Source organism: Homo sapiens, chromosome 11, assembly GCF_000001405.40.
Source record: "Homo sapiens chromosome 11, GRCh38.p14 Primary Assembly".
Lineage (NCBI taxonomy): Eukaryota > Metazoa > Chordata > Mammalia > Primates > Hominidae > Homo > Homo sapiens.
This window is the reverse complement of record NC_000011.10, coordinates 94,636,960-94,658,607: the sequence shown is the minus strand read 5'-3', so window position 1 is coordinate 94,658,607 and position 21,648 is coordinate 94,636,960. Positions and strand designations below refer to the sequence as shown.

Below are 21,648 nucleotides of genomic sequence, written 5' to 3'. Positions count from 1 at the left end.
TGCGCATGGCTGAGAATGGCCTGGGAACCCATACAACATAAGCAATTAATAGAGACAGGCACACAGTCTTCTCTGGGGATCTGGGGCTGAGCCAAGGAGGAACTGCTGCACAATTAGTGCATTTCCAGGTACGTTTTTTTTTTTTTAGGAGGGAATAAGACAAAGTTTTTTTCTTTGTCTTTCTCAGAATACTGTATCTGAAAATACAGAAAAAGATTATAGATAAAGACCAACTTCTGGCTAATACTAAGACTAGCCAATTCATCTTGATATTTGCCTTAAGTTCTTACTAATGATCCTAGAAAAATAAGATGTAGTTGACAACAAATACAGCAAAGTTAACATCATTAAAAACAGGATATTTGTAAATTTTCAAGTATGTGATTAGTAGCTGGCCTTATTGAGCCAAGGTTTGGCGCTAACCAGAGCGAGAGACCGAGGAGCTGAACATAACCAGGCTTTCTCGCTGGGCACTCAGACTGTCTTGCTCTTTAAATATCTAAAGCTCTTGATAAAGCACATAGAATTTATCCCCATTCAAGTATAAACAAATAGCAACAACCTAAAATATGTATCTGTTTTTGAACAAGGATCAAAACTAGCTAAAAGTAGACTCACTGAATAATGGCAAGGGGGAATTTGGGACAGTGTGTCCCATGCACTGCAAATCAAAAATAAATCATGAAAAGTTGCCCGTGGCTCTCTCCTGCTGTGAGCCAGGTAAGGTGAGGACTGTTTAGAGTTCCAACCGCTTATGATTCCCTGAACACTGTTTCACACTTCCCTCATCCTTCTGTTGAACCCTACTGTTCTCACCTCAGACCCACCTCAGACATTTCCCTCCCTGTCTCCCTGCACAGTTAATCAGGCACCCCTCCTCTGTGTGACCTCTGATCCTAGAATACATCTCTACTGCTGTACTCTGCACGCTATTTCATAATTTGCTTGTTCACATGCCTGCTCCCTCCATTAGCCCACAAGCTCTTTAACAGGAGTTTGGACCCTGCAAGACTGGTACAGGGTAAATGTTCAGAAAATACCTGTGATCTTTAATGGAATCAAAAATTGGTAGTGTCACTGGTAGAAGGTGTCCAGGTTCTTGGCGCCTCAAACAAAGAATTGGACAAAACACTCAAACAGAACGAGGAAAGCAAAAGCGGGAATTTATTGAGAATAAAAGTACACGCCACAGTGTGGGAGCGACCCGAGTGTAGACGCTCAAGAGCCCCACTTACGGAATTTTCTGGAGTTTCAATACTCTAGAGGTTTCCCATTGGTTACTTGGCGAATGTTCTATGTAAATGAGGAGAACGAAGTGCAGTCAGAGTCATTGACTCGGAATGCGCCCTACTGTAAATGGAGAGGATGTTACTTGGTGTGTGATCTATGTAAATGGAGAGGATGAAAGTGAAGTTACAAAGTGGAAATAGCATTAATGGAGAGGAAGAAGTTACAAAGCCATTCACATTCCTGTCATTGCTGAGGAGCTTTCATTTAATTCAGTTCTAGGAAGTCAGCGTGGATTGGCCTCAAGTACCCTGCCTGCATGCCCTATTCTCTTGCCTCATCTCCCCCGTGAAAGCTGTGATCCCCATAAATCTTTATGGGAAGCAGAGGGACCAATGGTCTTTCTTCTGTAACTGCTTCCTGCTGACTTGGGGTGTAGTCCCTACCTATTGGGGATCACACAACTTTCACCCTGCTCTGTTTAGTGAAGGTAGGGAAGATCCTTGATGGCCTGGGGTGGTGTCTTCACCTGGAGTGGCTGGCACCCTTGTCACACAGCTCGATGATCTCTAGGTGAGAGGAAATACTTTAGGTTAAAAGATTTAATGGGAACCTTGGGGTGGATACTTATGCCATCAGGAATATTTGTCATAGAAATGTATTTTTTAAATTCTGTTTAATTATTACAAAGGAAGTGATTTTTATCTATTTGGAAGAAGGCAATTAAACTGCAAAGATAAAAATGGCTACTATTTTCCAGCCCACAGTAACTATGCAACAAAGACACCAAAGAAAGTTGGTAGGCATTTACTTATCTTTTGGCTATCTTTTAAACAGGTACTTCAGGTCCTCCACTGGTTCACAGGTGTACTGGCTGATGGGAACTTCAGGTTCCTGGTCTGGAGCTTCTGGTATTGATGGTTTGATCCTTGAAAGATGTATCCAGCTATCTAATACTAGTACTTTGACCACAGAAGACGTGGCCAGTATTACTGAAAAAAGTCCCTTCTATTGGGGTTGTAATTGTTGGGCAGGTGATCCCTCATTCCATGTTTTAACAAGTACCCTATCTCCTGGCCTGATTTTGGGTTGCTGGTTAGTTCCAAGTGTGAGGAGCCTTTGAATTCCAAACTCTTGTAAACCCGCTGGAATTGTTCTGGGTTGACTAGGTATTTAATTACACCAACTCTTTCTGGGTCAATAATTAAATCATTAGTTAAGAATGGCCTTCTGTATAACATTTTATATGGGCTTCTGTTAATTTTTGAGCTAGGGGTATTACAAATTCTTAAAAGGGCTGTGAGCAATAAGCTAACCCAAGTTTCTGATGTTTCCTGACATAGTTTAGCTAGTGCTTATTTTAGAGTTTGGTTAACCCTTTCCACTTTTCCAGAGGATTGGGGCCTCCAGGCTGAATGTAAATAGTATTTTATTCCAAGAGCCTTAGCAACCCCTTGAGTTATTTGGGAGATAAAGGATTAGCCATTATCACTTTGGAGACCCTGAGGTAACCCAAACTGGGGAATTATTTCTTTTAAGAGGACCTTAGAACCTCATTAGCCTTTTCTGGGGTAACCTTTGACCCAACCTAAAAGTATCTATTAGTATTAACAAAAGCTTGTATCCTCTGCAAGCTGGCATATGGATGACGTCTAACTGCCAGTCTTCCCCTGGATAAGTTCCCCTCCTTTGGACTGGTTTTATTAGAGGGGGCATTTTGATGCCTGGATTGTTAAATGCACACAGTGAGCAGGCTTGACAGACCTGCTTAGCCATTGAAGCTGAGTTAAACCCAGTAAAGAACTTGTTTACCATGGCCAGAGCCGCATCCCTCCCCACATGGAAAGAGTCATGCAGGGCTTTTATAACTCTCCACTGGGCTGCCTGAGGGAGATATATTTTTGGCTCCATATGCCACCAGGATCCTTGTTTTTGTCTCCCTTGCTTTTTTTATTAGCTGTTCTTCCTGTGGTGTGTATTTGGGTTCTACTGGGGAATTGTAGAAAGGAAGCAGTGCTAGGATCTGTTGGGATTGCACGCTGAGGGCTTTTGCTTTGGCTTCCGTCAGCCTTTCCATTCCCTTGTGCTATAGGGGTTAAGTCCCTTTGATGCCCCCTACAATGAATGATAGCTATGGCCTTTGGCAGGTGTATTGCCTTCAATAGCTGCAGAATTTCAGGTCCATGCTCTATAGGGGAGTGCTTGCTAGTAAGTAATCCCCTTTCTTTCCTGATGGCGGTATGAGCATGAACCACAAGGAATGCATATTTAGAATCTGTATAGATGTTAAGTTTTTTCCCTTGTCCCAACATTAATGCTTGAGTAAGATCAATGATTTTAGCCTTTTGTGCTGATGTGCCAGGGGGCACTGGCTGGGCTTCAATAATTGTGTCATGATTTACTGCTGCATATCCAGCTCTGTGCTCCCCATTCGACAAAGAACTACTGCCGTCTGTGAGCCGGTCAGCTTCAGAATCTGGGAGAGCCTCATCTTTTAAATCAGGCTGGCTAACATATGTATGTGCAATGACCTGCTCACAGGAATGATCAATTATTGGGCCTGTGGGCAGCAATGAAGCTGGATTTAAAGTGTTGCAGGTTTTAAGAGTTATATCTGGATTGTCTAGGAGCATGGGCTGGTATTTAGTTAACATTTCCCCTGTCATCCAGATGTGTCCCTTTATTTCTAAGACTAACTTTACCTGATGGAGCGTTAGAACTTCCAGTGGTTGCCCTAGGGTGATTTTAGTGGCTTCCTCCACTAACAGCAGTGGCTGCTATTGCCCGCAGGCAACTTGGCCATCCTGAGGCCACTCCGTCCAACTTTTTTGAGAAGTAGGCGGTTGGTCTGGGTTCTGATCCTAATTTCTGGGCTAGCACTCCCACAGCTATGCCCCTCTTCTCTGCTACATACAAGGAGAAGGCCTTAATTAGGTCTGGGATACCAAGAGCAGGAGCCTGGGTGAGAACCTGTTTTAACTTGGCAAAGGCTTTCCTCATTTCCGGGGTCCATTCCATTAGCTCATTTTCAGGCCCCCTTGTTGCTTCATATAGGGGCTTTGCTATGAGCCCAAAATTTGGTACTCATATTCTCCAAAGCCCGGCCATCCCCAAAAAGGAACAAAGCTGCTGCTTGGAGGTGGGTCAGGGTGGGGGCTGGGGGTGGTGCACGCGGCCAAACCACATATAGCTTGCACTCCTTCTGGGGATATTTGCCGGGTTCCGGGTGTTAAGACATATCCTAAATAGTGGACCCATTGGAGGGTAATCTGAGCCTTCTTTTTGGACACTTTGTATCCTCTGTCTGCCAGGAAATTCAAAGTTTTTATAGTATTTTGGTCAGAAACCTCCTAGGTTGGGCTACACACAAGGTCATCCCCATACTGAAGAATACCTCCATTTTCTAACTTGAAATCCCTCAGATCCCGCTCTAATGCTCAGGCAAAGAAGTGGGGGCTATCCCGAAAGCCCTGAGGAAGCACTGTCCAAGTGTATTGTTTTTATCTGGTATTAGGATTTTCCCATTCGAAAGCAAAAAGGTACTGGGGGGCTCGGGGCCAGAGGAATGGAGAAGAAAGGTCTAGGACTGAGAACCATTTTGCATGCCCTGGCACCTGAGCCAGGAGGGCATATGGATCTGCCACCAATGGGTGGACGGGGATAACAGCCTCATTCATTATTCTGAGGTTCTGTACTAGCTGGTATTCCCCCCAGGCTTGAGAACAGGTAAGATGGGGGTATTGCAGGGAGAATTGCAGGGTTTTAAGAGTCCATGGGTAAGTAATATCTCAACTATGGGAGCTAGACCTTTGCTTGCTTCCTGTTCAACTGGGTATTGTTTTCCATTGGGAAAATGGCTGGGGTCTTTAAGCTGTATTTTGACTGGCACTGCTGTTTTAGCCTTCCCTGGGTTTCCAGTATACCATGCCAGTGGGTTAACCTGTTTATTGACATGGTCTGGGACATTGCCTTATTTCTTACTATTAGCAGTTTCACCTGCTAATATTGCTTAAATTGCAGTAGTGTCACTATTTTCACCATAATATCTCTTTCCCACAGGGGAATTGGGCAGCTTGGTACTACTAAAAATTCCTGTTGGAAGATTTGTTTCTCAAATTGACAAACCAAAGGAGGAGTAAGAATCTTGTTTGTGGCTTCCCTTCCATCCAATATCACTCATGGACCGGGAGGAAAGTTTTCCTGCATAAGCAGTTGTACAGAATAATTCACCTTGGTATCACATAAAAACTGAATTTGGGTGGCCATGATGTCCAGAGTTACCCAGGGTTCCTCAGTAGTAATTACAATGTTCCTAGACGGGGCAGTGAGGAAGGCCCCAGGCCCCTTCAGTCTTCATCTGATTCCTCCTTGTGCACTGCCAGAGTTTTGACTGACTGAGCCCCTTGGTGGGAGCAGGGACAGTCAATTCTCCAGGGCCAGGAGCCACAACTGGTGCTTTTACATTGACGGCAGGGGACTGGCGGGGGCTTAGTGGATTCCTGTGCCCAATCGCACTTTTATTGCATTTGAAGCAAGAGCCTTTGCTGGCATTATCCTTATGGCCCTTTGAGTTTCCCTTGGACAATCTTTGTGCATTTAGGGCATCACCAGTGATGGCTAACATAATTTTGGCTTGCCGTTTTTCTTTACTCTGTTTCCCTTCTCCTTCCTCCAGGTCACGATTGTTATACACCATGAAGGCAGTACCAAGAAGCTGATTTTGGTTAGTTTGTGGCCCCATGTGTAGCTTTTGGAGCTTACGTCTAATGTCTGGTGTGGATTGGCTAATGAAACGTTGTGCCATTAATAACTTGCCTTCAGGAGAGGAAGGGACCAAATTAGTATATATTTTTTAAAGGCTTCCCGCAGCCTGCCGTAAAACACAGCTGGGTTTTCCTCCCTGCCTTGTGTAATCTGCCTTACTTTATCATAATTTACTGCCTTAGTTATTCCCTTTCTCATTCCTCCAAGAGCCTCAAGAAATTTAGCCCAGTTGTTCCTTCCTGCGGGGGTGTCTTGGTCTCAATTAGGATGCGTAGTGGGAACTGTGGCTGGGCCTGGGTGACTGCCTTTACGGTTTTGGGTGAATAATTCGTCCACTTCTCGGAGGGCAGCCTCAAAGATTCGTTCCTTTTCCGAGGAGGTGCAACAGGTTGCTAGAGTGAATTGAACGTCTCTCCATGAGAGATCAAAGGCTAAGGTCAAAGTTTGGAACCCATCTGCAAACTTCCCGGAATCCTCAGAATAGCTTCCTAGCTTTTCCTTACATTGTTGTATATCAATCATAGAGAAGGGGACCCACACTAGGATTGGCCCCTCAGCCCCTGCTATTTCTCTGAGAGTAGCAGGGCTGGATAGAGAGTTGAATACAGTGTTCCCCTCCAAGTGTGAGGGGGACTTAGTAGGGTTCCCCATGTTTGCCCCTGGGTTTCAGCCTCAGGAGCACTTGGTGAGGGGTTATATGGGGACAGTCACTGCTCACTCTGAGAGACAGGTATCCCTTGTAAAAGGGGGTTCATCTATAATATCTAGTTCTGCCCCAGAACTTTCCTTCGGGGGATGGGTTCTGGGAGTTTCCTAGATTCTTAGGTCTTCGTATAGGGTCATGTAGGCCTGTATATGTGGGACTTCTGACCATTTGCCCTGCCTCTTGTAAAATAGGTCTAGATACAGGATGGTATCATAATTAAGGCTACCATTGACTGCCCATTGTTCCGGATTGGGCAGCTCATAATTGTGTCAAACAATATTGCAGTAAAAAATCATATGCCTTTTCTTTAGATTGTTAGGGTCAAATTCATCCCAATGGTGGAGGATGTAGCCAAGCGGTGAATCGGGTGGAATAGATAGGAAGTTGTCCACAGTGACACCAGGTAGAATAGACAGGAAGTTGCCCATAGTGGTCTGGAAAAGAGAAGAGGACTTTGAAAAGTGGAGGGTTTATTAGGTGACCCAAATTTTACCCGGGGCATTCCCCTGGAAAAATTCTGGGCCCAGCACGGGGTCCCTGAGGGCTTCCCCCTTAAGGGTCTGACTTAGTCTGTTGCACATCTCCAACCTTAGATGGGTGCCGGCACCACTTTGGAATGGTTCCCTCCTCCACTGAGGACCTACTGTTAACTTTTCCTTGAGGATTTTCTATCCCAGTTAAAGCAACCCTTTAACTCTATAAATTTGGGCAGTAAACCTACACGTCAGTTCCTGCATAAATCCCCTTTGTTAATTTCCCTAATTCTCACAATTTATGACATATCTGAACCCTCTATCTTGTCCTTAGACAGCTGAATGGAGGAAGGGAAGAATTTGGCATGAGGAAAGAAGGTTTAAGTTGTCTGAAACATGTGTGAGTTCACCCTGGATGAGCTGCCACAGCAATTGCGTCACATGTTGGGATGAGGAACTCTAACCGGAGAGATAGAAAAAAGTCCTTCCCCCTTCTGGGCAGGGCAGCCATCCCTTTTCGTTTCTTGGCCTTCAGAAGGCACCCGAGAGTGGCCCCGGCCAGCTGTCCTCAATTAACCGGGAGCTACTAGGAGTAGCTGAAAGACCGAAACAGGAAAAAGAAAAATAACTCAGTAAAAGGGAGAAAGGAATAGGACTCAGAAAAACAAAACCAAGGAAAAGGACTCAGGTTGCCCACCCAGCCGGGTGGTGGTGGTCAGATGCGTCACATGGAAACCTGTAGGTTTCACCAGAGAGTGGCCCTGGCTGGAAACTTGCAGTTGTCTCTATGTTTAGGCGCTGATCACGGAGGGTCCCAAGTTGGAAAGGAAAAAGAGAGAGAAAAAGGTTTCCCTGTATGTAAAAGGGGAAAGAAAAATAAATCCCAAACTTTGGGCCTACCTTGTCTCCAGGCTGGCTCGCCAAAATATATGTTACCAGTAGAAGGTGTTCAGGTTCTTGGCATCTCAAATGAAGAAGTTGACAAAATGCACAAATGAGGCAAGGAAAGCAAAAGCAGGGATTTATTGAGAATAAAAGTACACGCCACAGTGTGGGAACAGCCCAATCATAGAGGCTCAAGAGCCCGGCTTACAGAATTTTCTGGGGTTTTAATGCTCTAGAGGTTTCCCGTTGGTCACTTGGTGAATATTCTATGTAAATGAAGTGAATAAAGTGAAGTCACAGAGTCATTTACTCAGAATGTGCCCTACTGTAAATGGAGAGGATGTTAGTTGGTGTGTGATCTATGTAAATGGAGAGGATGAAAGTGAAGTTACAAAGTGGAAATGGTATGAATGGAGAGGATGAAGGGAATTTACAAAACCATTCACATTCCTGTCATTGCTAAGGTGCTTTCATTTGATTTAGTAAAGTCAGTGTGGATTGGCTTTATGTTCCCTGCCTCCAGGCCCTAGTCTCCTGCCTCAGTAGAGCCCTCAAATCTCTCAGGGTGGGTCTACTCAGGCTAAGTTTGTCTGAAAACTATTTCTCAAGCTGATTTTTTGGTTGTTTTTGAAAACTCATTGAGTTATTTATTTTATTTATTTATATATTTATTTTTTGAGACACAGTCTTGCTCTGTCACCCAGGCTGGAGTGCAGTGGCACAATCTCGGCTCATTGCAACCTCCACCTCCTGGGTTTAAGCAATTCTCCTGCCTCAGCCTCCCGAGTAGCTGGAATTACAGATCCCCACCACCATGCCTGGCTAATTTTTGTATTTTTAGTAGAGACAGGGTTTTACCATGTTGGCCAGGCTGGTCTCGAACTTCTGATCTCAGGTGATCCACCTGCCTTGGCCTCCAAAAGTGCTGGGATTACAGGCATGAGCCACCATGCCTGGCCGAGTTATTTATTTTAGAATAGGATAAATGACTCCTGCTTTGCAGATAAATATCAGAGCAGTAATCGCACACAGCCTGAAGCTGCCATATTTTATTCTGACCTACTTCATAATGACTCTTAATTGCTCTGAAAAAAATATTCTTCCTTATTTATTCTGAACTGGCTTTTAGGGGTTGCATTTGGACAGGGGAAGAGTAGATCTTATCATTCAGGCCCTGCCAGACAGCAATTCCTGTTTCTGAGAGCACTTACCTTCTCCAGTCTGGCTTGCAACTCAGCCAAGCTAGATCTAAGGAGCTTCCTTTCCTAGATGAGCTTCCTTCTCCTAGGTCTTTGCTTTTATGTCTCACCCACTAGTCTCTATGTTTGTATCTTAATGCCTCTTTAAGTATCTCACATCACCTTACAAAACGATTAGTGCATTATAGATTCAACAAATACTTAACTTTTCTGAAAATCCAGTTACTTGTTTTATGAGCCTCCAATTGCAAACTGAAATTATCTTCTCCATTATTGCTAATGACAGTGAAGAATTTTCCATTCAGCATCAAAGAGTCAAAAAATACCTAAAAACATTTTTCCTTGCATATAGCATATTGACAACATTGTCTCTCACACCTGTTGAATGTTCTTCCTCTGTGCCTAGTACTATGCTACCCTTGAATGCGTGTCTTACTTTTTATAATAACCTGTGAGATAGAGGTTTTTTAAATTGTCATTTGTGACACAGAAAAAGCAATTTAAGATACTCATCTACATGCAGCTAGTAAATGAGAGAAGCAGGATCTGAACCCAGCTCAGATTCCAAAGCCTAAGTATTTTCTACTACACCACTCTCCAACAGACAGGAGCTAAAGGCCACTTAATTCCTTTCTTTCCAGTCTGTCACTCTCAATAGTGCCTTGGCTCTGCTTACTTGGAAGCTCTTTCTCCCCTAGAATTTTGAGGAGAAAATGTAAGGACAATTGTTTTTTAATTCTAAATAATTCTCTTGTCACTGTCACAGCAGCAGTCTTGGTGTTCAGAAGCTGTGGTAAGACCAGTGGACTTAACATCAAGACAGGAGTTTGAGCATCTTATGTAACATGACATTGACCCTTTTGTATAGTCTAAAAAGTTATTTATTTTTTCTTTCTGGGGAAAAGTTTGATGTCTTCCTCAAAGAGTCTGACCATCTAGGTGAGCATCAAGGTGAAATATTTTACCTGCTTTCCTGATGTATGAATCCATAACAATGGGATATTTGAAGAATTTTTATGAGATTATGTTGAGGCTTGGCTGATCTTCCTTTGTGTTCCAGCTACTGTGTGGAAGGGCCCGGTTTTGTCTTTGTTCTGCAAGAAGGAAAGCAAACACAAGAAGCCTAGCCTGGGAGATAGAAACACCCATGGGAGGATGGAAATCTGTGACCCCTCCTCCCTCACCAACACCACATCCAATCAGCCACGAGGCCCCCCTGCTTCCCCAAATCCCCATTGCCATTACATTCACCATTATCCTTTGCTGGGAATGTTGCAACAGCTCCTGATTTATTGCCCACTTTCCACCCTTATCTTCGTCAGCCTCCAGCATCATTCCTAAACAGCAGCCAGTGTGATATTTAAAAAATAACAAATCTAAATATAAGACTCTTCTGGTTAAAAACCTTCAAGGCTTCCCATTACTCTTCAAATCGTGGCAAACATTTTTAAGCAGAGCTTTAAGGCAGTTCGTAGTCTGGTCCCTGCCTGCCTCCCTAGCCTCATCTTGCTCCATTTCTCCTTTTTTCCACCCTACCCTACAATCACGTTAACAGATTTTTCTCTTCCACAAACGTGCCAAGCTATTCCCTGCATCTGGAATGCTCTCCCTGCTGCCACTCTCCTGGATAACAACTTTTGTCTTTCAGATCTTAGCTTACATGGATGTGACTGCCTCATAGAGACTTTCTCAACTCTCCAAACTTGGTTAGAGATCCCTCTACTAAACCATTGTAGAAACCTGTGTCTCTTCTTCATAATCTCATTTTAACTCACGTTGTTATTTCTGTGGTTGTCTATTTGATGGTTCAGGGCCACGCCTGGCCTGTTCACTCCCATGTCCCCAGGAGCCAGCACCGCATCTGGCACCTAGAAGGTGCTCAGCAAGTCTTTGGAAGAGGAATGAATGAGCCAGGACTTGCGTGAGGAAGGACCTGGCTTCCAGCTGTGGTTCTGCCACTTACTAAGCTGTGTAATCTTAGGAAGGTCGTTTAACTTCTCTGGACCTCAGTTTCTTCATCTGTAAAACAGGAATGATGATTTTCATGTGCGTCCATGTAAAGAGACCACCAAACAGGCTTTGTGTGAGCAATAAAGCTTTTAATCACCTGGGTGCACGCGGGCTGAGTCCGAAAAGAGAGTCAGCAAAGGCAGATAGGGGTGGGGCCGTTTTATAAGATTTGGGTAGGTAAAGGAAAATTACAGTCAAAGGGGGTTGTTCTCTGGCGGGCAGGAGTGGGGGTCACAAGGTACTCAGTGGGGGAGTTTTTGAGCCAGGATGAGCCAGGAGAAGGAATTTCACAAGACAATGTCATCAGTTAAGGCAGGAACAGGCCATTTTCACTTCTTTTGTGGTGGAATGTCATCAGTTAAGGCAGGAACTGGCCATCTGGATGTGTACATGCAAGTCACAGGGGACATGATGGCTCAGCTTGGGCTCAGAGGCCTGACATTCCTGTCTTCTTATATTAATAAGAAAAATAAAGCGAAATAGTGGTAAAGTGTTGGGATGGCGAAAATTTTTGGGGATGGTATGGAGAGATAATGGGCGATGTTTCTCAGGGCTGCTTTGAGCGGGATTAGGGGCAGCTTGGGAACCTAGAGTGGAAGAGATTAAGGTGAAGGAAGATTCTGTGGTAAGGGGTGATATTGTGGGGTTGTTAGAAGAAACATTTGTCATTTAGAATTATTAGTGATGGCCTGGATACAGTTTTGTATAAATTAAAAACTAAACGGAATAAGAGAAGAAGAAAAACAGGTATTAAAGGACTAAGAATTGGGAGGACCCAGGACATCTAATTAGAGAGTGCCTAAGGAGGTTCAGCATAGCCTTGCCAGTAAAGATTATTTATTCACTTTAAGAGTTAAGAGTGGTGGTTTGGGGATAGCACCAGGAGATATCAGCTGTGATGGCTTGGAGAAACAGTGTAAACTGGCAGTGTAAACAAGAGCAGGGCATGTATGAGTAGTTGAGAATGGTGAATAGGAGTATGACTAGACAGAAGATAGTAGGGATGACAAGTTTTTTGGGGGCACAGTCTAAGTTGGTCTGGTGTCTGGAATGAGACTGGGGCCTAATAAAAAGGAGCATCTATACAGGAGCTCAAATGGGCTGTACCCTGTAGCATTCTGAGGACAGGTCTGACCTCTGAGAAGGGAAAGTGGTACAAGTATTGTCCAGTCCTTTTTAAGTTGGTGGCTGAGCTTGGTGAGGTGTGTTTTTAAGAGACCTTTAGTCTGTTCTACTTTTCCTGAAGACGGAGGACTGTAAGGGATATAAAGGTTTCACTGAATACTAAGAGCCTGAAAAACTGCTTGGCTGATTTGAGTAATAAAGGCTGGTCTGTTATCAGACTGTATAGGGGTGGGAAGGCTAAACTGAGGAATTATGTCTGATAGAAGGGAAGAAATGACTGTGCTGGCCTTCTCAGACCCTGTAGGAAAGGCCTCTACCTATCCAGTGAAACTGTCTACCTAGACTAAGAGGTATTTTAGTTATCTGACTCAGGGCATGTTGAGTAAAGCTAATTTGCCAGTCGTGGGTGGGGGCAAATCCTCGAGCTTGATGTGTAGGGAAGGGAGGGGGCCTGAATAATCCCTGAGGAGTAGTAGAACAGCAGATGGAACACTGAGAAGTTATTTCCTTGAGGACAGATTTCCACGATGGAAAGGAAATGAGAGGTTCTAAGAGGCGGGCTAGTGGCTTGTACTATAGCATAGCCTGCCTTTGCTGGTGTGTGGTGATTATGCCTGGTGGAACCGCCATCAATAAATCAAGCGTGATCAGGATGAGGAACAGGAAAGAAGGAAATATGAGGAAATGGGGTGAATGTTAGGTGGATCAAAGAGATACAGTCATGTGGGTCAGGTGTGGTATCAGGAATAATGTGGGAGGCCGGATTGAAGTCTGGGCCAGGAACAATGGTAATTTTGGGACTTAACAAAGAGTGAGTACAGCTGAAGGATCCAGGGAGCAGAAAGTATATGCGTCAGGTATGAGGAAGAAAATAGATTTTGGAAGTTATAAGAAATGTAGAGAATAAGTTGAGCATAGTTTGTGATTTTGAGGGCCTCTAAAAGTATTAGGGCAGCAGCAGCCGCTGCACGGAGACATGAGGGCTAGGCTAAAACAGTAAGGTCAAGTTGTTTGCACAGAAAGGCTACAGGGTGCGGTCCTGGCTCTTGTGTAAGAATTCTGACCACACTAACCATGCCTAGGAAGGAAAGGAGTTGTTGTTTTGTAAGGGATTGAGGTTTGGGAGATTAATCGGACACGATCAGCAGGGAGAGCACGTGTGTTTTTATGAGAATTATGCCGAGATAGGTAACAGATGAGGATGAAATTTGGGCTTGACTGAAGTAATGGGGGCTGTCTGTGAAGCCTTGCGGCAGTACAGCCCACGTAATTTGCTGAGCCTAATGGGTGTCAGGGTCAGTCCAAGTGAAAGCGAAGAGAGGATGGGATGACGGGTGCAAAGGAATAGTAAATAAAGCATGTTTGAGATCCAGAACAGAATAATGGATTGTGGAGGGAGGTATTGAGGATAGGAGAGTATATGGGTTTGGCACCATGGGGTGGATAGGCAAAACAATTTGGTTGATAAGGCACAGATCCTGAACTAACTTGTCAGGTTTGTCTGGTTTTAGGACAGGTAAAATGGGGGAATTGTAAGGAGAGTTTATAGGCTTTAAAAGGCCATGCTATAGCAGGCGAGTGATAGCAGGCTTTAATCCTTTCAAAGCATGCTATGGGATGGGATATTGGCATTGAGCGGGGTAAGGGTGATTAGGTTTTACTGAGATGGTAAGGGGTGCATGATCGGTCGCCAAGGAGGGAGTAGAGGTATCTTATACTTGTGGGTTAAGGTGGGGGAATACAAGAAGAGGACGCAAAGGAGGCTTTGGATTGGGAAGAAGGGTGGCAATGAGATGTAGCTGTAATCCAGGAATAGTCAGGGAAGCAGATAATTTAGTTAAAGTGTCTCGGCCTAATAAGGGAACTGGGCAGGTGGGGATAACTAAAAAGGAGTGCTTAAAAGAGTATTGTCTAAGTTAGCACCAGAGTTGGGGAGTTTTAAGAGGTTTAGAAGCTTGGCTGTCAATACCCACAACAGTTATGGAGGCAACGGAAACAGGCCCTTGAAAAGAAGGTAATGTGGAGTGGGTAGCCTCCGTATTGATTAAGAAGGGGACGGACTTACCCTCCACTGTGAGAGTTACCTAAAGCTCGGCGTCCGTGATGGTCTACGGGGCTTCCGAGGCGATCGGGCAGTGTCAGTCTTTAGCCGCTAAGCCGAGAAGGAGTCAGAGAGCCTTGGGCCAGAGTTCCACGGGCTCTGTGAGTGGCTGCCAGGTGAGTTGAACAGTCCGATTTCCAGTGGGGTCCTGCACAGATGGGACACGGCTTAGGAGGAATCCTGGGCTGCAGGCATTCCTTGGCTTGGTGGTCAGATTTCTGGCACTTGTAGCGAGCTCCTGGGGAGGAGGTTCTGGAGGAACGCCTGGCCGCTGCGGTTCAGGCGTTTGGAAGTTCTTGTGTGCTGGAGATGTGGCTGGGGTTTGTCTCACAGTGGAGACAAGGAATTGCAACTTTTTTCTATTGTTGTACACCTTGAAGGCGAGGTTAATTAAATCCTGGTGTGGGGTTTGAGGGCCAGAATTTAATTTTTGGAGTTTTATTTAATGTCGGGAGCAGATTGGGTAATAAAATGTATATTGAGAATAGGACGGCCTTTTGACCTTTTAGGGTGTAGGGCTGTAAAGCGTCTCAGGGTTGCTGCCGAACGAGCCATGAACTGGGCTGGGTTTTTTATATTTGATGAAAAAGAGCCTAAATGTTATCTGATTTGGGATAAAGAAAAAGGAGCATTAAACCTTGACTATGCCTTTAGCTCTAGTCACCTTTTTAAGAGCAAATTGCTGGGCAGGTAGGGGAGGGCTAGTCACGGAATGAAACTAAGCCAGACCAACTAAGCCAGAGCGGGTGTGAGGAGGGGAGGTGATAAAAGGATTATAGGGTGGAGGAGCGGAGGCTGAGGAAGAATTGGGATCTAGCTCGGCCTGGCGAGGAGCAGCCTGGGGAGGAGGGGAGAGGTCAGATGGGTCTGTAGAAAAGGAAGATTAGAAAGACTCAGTGACGCTTGGGGTTGGGACTGAGGGGACAGGTGGGAGGGAAAGAAGGAAGATTTGGGATGAGTTGCATTGGGAACAGAGACTAGAGAGGGACCGACGTGTAAAAGAATGCCTGGATGTCAGGCACCTCAGACCATTTGCCCATTTTATGACAAGAATTATTTAGATCTTGTAGGATGGAAAAATTGAAAGTGCCATTTTCTGGCTATTTGGAACTACTGTCGAGTTTGTATTGGGGTCAAGCGGCATTGCAGAAGAAAATAAGATGCTTAGATTTTAGGTCAGGTGAGAGTTGAAGAGGTTTTAAGTTCTTAAGAACACAGGCTAAGGGAGAAGAAGGAGGAATGGAAGGTGGAAGCTTGCCCATAGTAAAGGAGGCAAGCCCAGAGAAAACAGTAGAGACACGGAGAAGGGGTGGGGAGTTCTTGCCCTCCAGAAAAGCAGAGAAGGGGTTGGGGCACAAAGGTGCAGAGATATAAGAGGTTGGGGCGCGGAAATAAGGGATTGGGGTGCAGAGATATAAGAGGTTGGGGCATGGAAATAAGGGATCGGGGCACAGAGATATAAGGGGTTGGGGTGGGGAAATAAGGGATGGGGCGCAGAGATATAAGGGGTTGGGGTATTTGCCTCTCCCCTAGAAAAGCGGGACTTGCCGCTAAGGGTGAAGGAGAAGGGGTTGGGGGTTTCTTGCCCCCCAGAAAGGTGAAGAAGGGGTAGAGACATGGAGAGAAGGGGTTGGGGTATTGCCCCTTCCCCAGAAAAGCGGGACTTGCTGCTAAGGGTGAAGGACCAAGACAGGCGTCCCTGCATGGTCTGACACCTCTGAAACTTGGGTGAATAATCAGGCATCCCTGCAATGATTAAACACCAAGGGAAGGCTGCCTTCCCTAGTCCGTGACCGACACCGGAGTTTTGGGTCCACAGATAAAACGTGTCTCCTTCGTCTCTACCAGAAAATGAAAGGAATTGAAATTAAGAGAAGGGAAAGATTGAAGAGTGGAAAGGAGAAAGTGGTTGAGGGACAGTGAGAGAGCTTGGAGAAGAGAGTAAGAAGAGGCCGCTTACCCGATTTAAAATTGGTGAGATGTTCCTTGGGCTGGTCGGTCTGAGGACCTGAGGTCGTAGGTGGATCTTTCCCATGGAGCAAAGAACAGGAGGACAGGGGATTGATCTCCCAAGGGAGGTCCCCCAATCCGAGTCACAGCACCAAATTTCATGTGCGTCTGTGTAAAGAGACCACCAAACAGGCTTTGTGTGAGCAATAAAGCTTTTAATCACCTGGGTGCACGCGGGCTGAGTCCGAAAAGAGAGTCAGCAAAGGCAGATAGGGGTGGGGCCGTTTTATAAGATTTGGGTAGGTAAAGGAAAATTACAGTCAAAGGGGGTTGTTCTCTGGCGGGCAGGAGTGGGGGTCACAAGGTACTCAGTGGGGGAGCTTTTGAGCCAGGATGAGCCAGGAGAAGGAATTTCACAAGACAATGTCATCAGTTAAGGCAGGAACAGGCCATTTTCACTTTTTTTGTGGTGGAATGTCATCAGTTAAGGCAGGAACCCACCATCTGGATGTGTACGTGCAGGTCACAGGGGACATGATGGCTCAGCTTGGGCTCAGAGGCCTGACAAAGACAACTGCTTTTCTTCCAGGGCTGATGAGAGACCCAAAGGATAAATAGAGCTTAAAGCAAGTTGGAAGCCGTAGACCATTATGCAGATGCCATATATTATTACTTCTTTACAGTTGGGTTGGTTACTAGAGGACTCACCAGCCCCAGCACCCAGATCTCATGCCTCCTAGCCTTCATGGTTTCCAGAGACATTCTGAATAGCCACGGGCCGGCTGGTGCTGACAACTTGGTGTATTCTGGCCAATGGGGGAGGGAGCTGAACGAAGGGATGTGGGCAGGGAGCCATAGTTCTTCCTGCCAAAGCAGAATCTTTGCCTAATTTCCCCATGACAGTCCTACGTCCATGAAGAACTGAGGAGAATGACATCAGTAAGTCTTACACTCGAGTTTTCTGTCAGAGCAGGTGCAACTTCAAAACTGCTTCCGCCCTCAGGACCAGGCATTTCCTAAACACCCCTCCTCCTTCACTTCTCTTCTCACTGCTGCCTGTGGCTGAGGTATTCTTAATGACAAGCCATCGAGTCCATGATAATCAGCTGAGGAGTGATTCTCATTAGATTTCAGGGAAGGAAAAGGCTCAGGCCATGACTGAAGGATGGAAAATAAGAAGGAATATAGCTAACCTGGCCTCTTCACCTGACTCTACTTAGAGTCCATCTTGACAAGCAGATTGGAGTCATGACAGTTCAGACCTGAAATGCTGGTTTTTATTTAAAGGAGACAGGTGGGAAGAGGGGGATGGGAATAACAACACAGCCATTTGCTGCATAACTAATTACCAAAAATTAACAGCTTAAAACTTAAAACAGCTCCCATAGACCAGGAGTCCAGGTTCAGTGTCTCGCAGACTATAATCAGGGAGGGTCTAGCGTCCCATCTGAGGCTCAGAGGGGCAGGGGCGGGGCGGGGGGTGGTGGTGGTGGTGATGGTGGTGGTGGTCTTCCAAGCACACGTGGTTGTTGTCAGAATTGATTTCCTTGCAGCTGTAGAACTGAAGCATCTTGCCTCTTCAAGGCTAACAGGAAAGAGTGAGTCTCTGACTCTAGGCTTCTTACTTGACATTCTCCAGGAACTCACCTGATTAGGTCAGGCCCACCCAGGATTATCTCCCTTTTCATTAACTTCACCTCAACTGCAGGATTTCTTCACCTTTACTATATTCTACTTTTCAGAAGCAAGTTATACATCCCTCCCACAACTGAAGGGGAGAGGATGACACAAAGATGTGGATACCAGGCAAAGAAATCATAGAGGCCATTTAAAAATTCTACCTACTACATCCTCCGTTTGCTGAGCTCCATGTGTGTGTTGCAGGACTTTCTCCTTAGTTCAGCTAAAGACGGGGTCCTTGTCAAACATCCATGAAATATTAGGCTTGCAGACACTTTGAAGGGTGAGAAAAATGGTATTTATTGGGCGAAAAGGGAAAAAAAAAAAGGAAAAACAGAGACTCTCCGGAAAGCCAGAGTCCTGCTACTGCACTTCCTGCCTGGCGAACTGAATCCCAGGTTCCACCCAGGAAGAGGGCGGCAGGCTCCTCCCCACTGCAAACCACGCGAACCTCCCAAGGCTCCACCCCAGCGTGCATTCCTCCCAGTGTGCAGGTCAGGGAGGCTCTGCCAGGGAGCACTTCCTACCTGGCTGTCTCATGTGGGGTGTGTGTTTGTGTGTGTAACAGAAATCAACTTGTTCCGACTCACCTTAGCAAAATCAGGGGGATTGGTTTTAAGGAAACGATGTCTTGTGGACCCAGGATACAAATGCAGCCTGACCTGTGGAAGGACAGGAGTTAGGGTGAGGAAAGCCATAGGGAAACTTGGATCCCTATGGCTTCATCATTCTCTCTCTCTCTGTGAACCAACTTTATCTGCTGTCCAATTTGTGCTTTACAGTTCCAGCCATGGTTCCAACAACCATGCTATCTCATCCCATTGTCTCTGGTAGAATCAGTATCTCTCTCTTTCTCTCCTCCATTCCCAGTTCTAAATTCTTAGAGAAGGAATCTTGGGTGGGCTGCTCATCTGTATTGTAGTTGTCTGTGGCCAGAGAGGACAGGATGCATGTTACAAGCATGGCTGCTGGGAATCCACCCATGGTGATCATGTAGCGAAGGGAGGATGGGGTCAGTTCCAGGAGAAAGAGGCTGAGGTCCCAAGAGATGTCCACTGCATGGTGTCAGGCTTTGTCATTAGTGGCCAGTATGTGCATATGCCACATCATCTGGTGCACAACTGAGCAGCAAGGCCTTTTGCTGGTGGAGGGGGCGGAATGAGACATGTTTAACAGTGTTCCACAGTTAGTACTATGTGCTGCATAAACCAGGGACTTGTTTCCAGCCGGAAGTGATGCTTCCTGTCAAAATCAGTTTACAGCTATGTTCCCATCACCCCAGCACTTAGAAGAAGGCTGATCCCACAGAAAGAATTCAGCAGCTGCAGAGAATGAGGATATAGGCACACAGGGCCCAATTTAGAGACACAGCCCTGCAGCATCTCATAAACCTTTTTTAGAAATGGCTGAGAAAGAGCTGCTTTGAGCAAGAAGTGAAAGTAAAGAAGGATTGGGTAATCAAAAGCCCGGAAGAAGGAAGGGAATCTTCCAGCACAGAGTGTAATGCTCATGTTTTGCTAAGAAGAAAGTGAGACACACAAAAGGCTCCAGACAGGGCGAGTTATTAAACCTCAGACATGCTGCTTAAGAGCTCTTACCAATTCTTACTTATGAGGAACTGGCTTCCAGATCTCTCGTGTGTCTTATAGTTGTTTTATACAAGTGTGCACAGGGAGGTATAAACTGGATGTGATTCTCACCCCAGGATGTGGGTGCTTACCAACCAGTCCTTCTGCAGTCTTCACATAGTTCAAAGCCAAAGGATCATTTCCAGCGCTGACATATTTGTGGAATCTTCAAGGGAAAGGAAAAGGCTAACCCAAGGCAAAGTGTTATTTGCTCACATCACTTAAGGAATTTTTTCAAAATTCTAGAGATTAACGGGTAAGTCTATAAAATTCAAAAGGAACTACTATATTAAAGTAGGGTTGTCATCACTTCTCCTTGCAGTTATTGTCTCCCTGTCCCCTGGCTCCAAGTGCATTGCATCATGAAAGGAAACTGTCACTCTTTTCAGCATTGGCTGTTCTGACTTGGTATTTTACTGCATGGTGATCTGATGCTGTTGGGGAGACAGGCATGTGGAGCATTTTAAGCCACGAAGGAAGGTATGTGAACTAAATCCACAACTCACCTCTTAGGAACAACTGCCTGAGGATAGGGTTCTTTCAGAAAACATAAGCTCTGGTGACAAATTCACTCAACTGATTGCTGCACCTTGTTTTAGAAAATGCTTCTAGAGGTAGCAAAATAATTCACATGAGGATTTATGAAGATGTACTTCATCCTTGATTTGGGAAGAGGTGAGAGAGACGATGTCCACCTACCACGGTTCACCCATGTGAACTTTCTTGTTACTCCTACTGTGTCATCCAGTCACTGAGCAAAGTCCTGGGCACACTTCATTAAACACAGTACCTGCTTTTGAAGAATTCACAGTCTCACAGGAGAGAAGTATGTGTAAACTGATGGTTAAAATACATCACAGTGTTAGGTGTTGCAGAGGGGAATGGGCAAAGCATTATTAGATCATAGAAGGAATGACTAGGCATGCAGCTCCTTCCAGACTCAGCTTGGGAATCCTCCCAGTCCGACGGCTGTGCTCTACCACTCTCTGCTCACTTTCCACATGACATTGGTACTTTGTGCTCCTGTGTCTCTCTCCCCAACAAGGCTTCAAGCCAGGGTTTCTCAGCTTTGGCATTATTGACATTTTGGGCCAAATTTTTGATGGTAGGGAGGGGGAGCCGTCTTGTGCGTTGTAGAATGCTTAGCATCATCTCTGCCCTCTACCCAGGATCGCTGCCCTCTGTCTGCCAGTAATACACACACACACATACACACATATGACACAGACACACACAACACACACATGAACACAGACACACACATACCCCCCACACTATTAATGGCAATACAAAGTCTCTGCCAAATGTCCCCTAGGCAGCAAAATCGCCCCAGTTGAGAGTCCCTGCTTTAAGCTGTTCCAGGGCAGCAATGACATTTTCTTCATCTCTGAATCCCTGGTGCCCAGGACATTTCTGTCACTGCGAACCAAACAGAATATGGCTTGGAGGGATGAGGGAAGCCTTAAATAAGAGAACTATCTGATTCGAAGTATAAAGAGGAATCATCTAGGTCAGCACTCTCCTATAGAACTTTCTGTGATGATGGAAATGTTCTATGTCTTCACTTTCCAATACAGTGGCTGCTACGTGTGGCCTTTGAGTACTTGAAATGTATGACTGAGGAACTGGATTGATTTCAATTACTTTAAATGTAGCCTTCAAAGGCCACATGTGATTAGAGCCTCCATCTTAGATAGCACAGCTCAAGCACTGAGTGGCCTGGCCCAGGGTAAGCACTACTCATCAAATGCAAGTTTGGGTTTCAATAGATTCCCAGATGATTCAAATATATATTCATACTTCCAGTTTTTCTGACCATTATCCAAGCGTAAAGCAATATATTTTGGAATAAATTGAATATTCCCATGCTTCCTTCTAAAGAGATAATAAAAGAGGCTGA

At 45.3% G+C, this 21,648-nt stretch overlaps 2 long non-coding RNA genes across 40 annotated transcripts in view, besides 4 other annotated features; one reads left to right on the top strand and one right to left on the bottom strand.

Moving 5' to 3' along the window:
- The window catches only part of PIWIL4-AS1 (PIWIL4 antisense RNA 1), a 195,024-nt gene that overhangs the window by 81,748 nt on the left and 91,628 nt on the right, over positions 1–21,648 (top strand). The window lies entirely within an intron of this gene.
- On the bottom strand, positions 1,140–20,565 carry LINC02700 (long intergenic non-protein coding RNA 2700). Of its 37 annotated transcripts, NR_187338.1 has the most exons (12): positions 20,448–20,565; positions 20,255–20,356; positions 19,841–19,934; positions 18,711–18,782; positions 18,286–18,394; positions 16,451–16,608; positions 14,474–14,638; positions 11,030–11,273; positions 10,500–10,591; positions 10,220–10,348; positions 8,071–8,134; positions 1,140–7,131 (listed from the first exon to the last, which is right to left on the bottom strand). It is a non-coding gene; the product is annotated as a long intergenic non-protein coding RNA 2700 (long non-coding RNA). The 37 variants fall into 37 exon arrangements; NR_187347.1 differs by having other exon boundaries at positions 19,719–19,914; positions 20,255–20,565; NR_187349.1 differs by having other exon boundaries at positions 18,282–18,394; positions 19,841–19,914; positions 20,255–20,565.
- Positions 1,243–2,179: an enhancer, noted in NCBI's record as "OCT4-NANOG-H3K27ac hESC enhancer chr11:94389595-94390531 (GRCh37/hg19 assembly coordinates)". NCBI's record gives its function as "activates a minimal SCP1, AML or CMV promoter by ChIP-STARR-seq in naive H9 embryonic stem cells {active_cell/tissue: H9 hESC(naive)}" and the evidence as "EXISTENCE:reporter gene assay evidence [ECO:0000049][PMID:30033119]".
- Positions 8,260–8,835: an enhancer, noted in NCBI's record as "OCT4-NANOG-H3K27ac hESC enhancer chr11:94382939-94383514 (GRCh37/hg19 assembly coordinates)". NCBI's record gives its function as "activates a minimal SCP1, AML or CMV promoter by ChIP-STARR-seq in naive and primed H9 embryonic stem cells {active_cell/tissue: H9 hESC(naive and primed)}" and the evidence as "EXISTENCE:reporter gene assay evidence [ECO:0000049][PMID:30033119]".
- Positions 11,255–11,988: an enhancer, noted in NCBI's record as "OCT4-NANOG-H3K27ac-H3K4me1 hESC enhancer chr11:94379786-94380519 (GRCh37/hg19 assembly coordinates)". NCBI's record gives its function as "activates a minimal SCP1, AML or CMV promoter by ChIP-STARR-seq in naive H9 embryonic stem cells {active_cell/tissue: H9 hESC(naive)}" and the evidence as "EXISTENCE:reporter gene assay evidence [ECO:0000049][PMID:30033119]".
- Positions 18,094–18,593: an enhancer, noted in NCBI's record as "H3K4me1 hESC enhancer chr11:94373181-94373680 (GRCh37/hg19 assembly coordinates)". NCBI's record gives its function as "activates a minimal SCP1, AML or CMV promoter by ChIP-STARR-seq in primed H9 embryonic stem cells {active_cell/tissue: H9 hESC(primed)}" and the evidence as "EXISTENCE:reporter gene assay evidence [ECO:0000049][PMID:30033119]".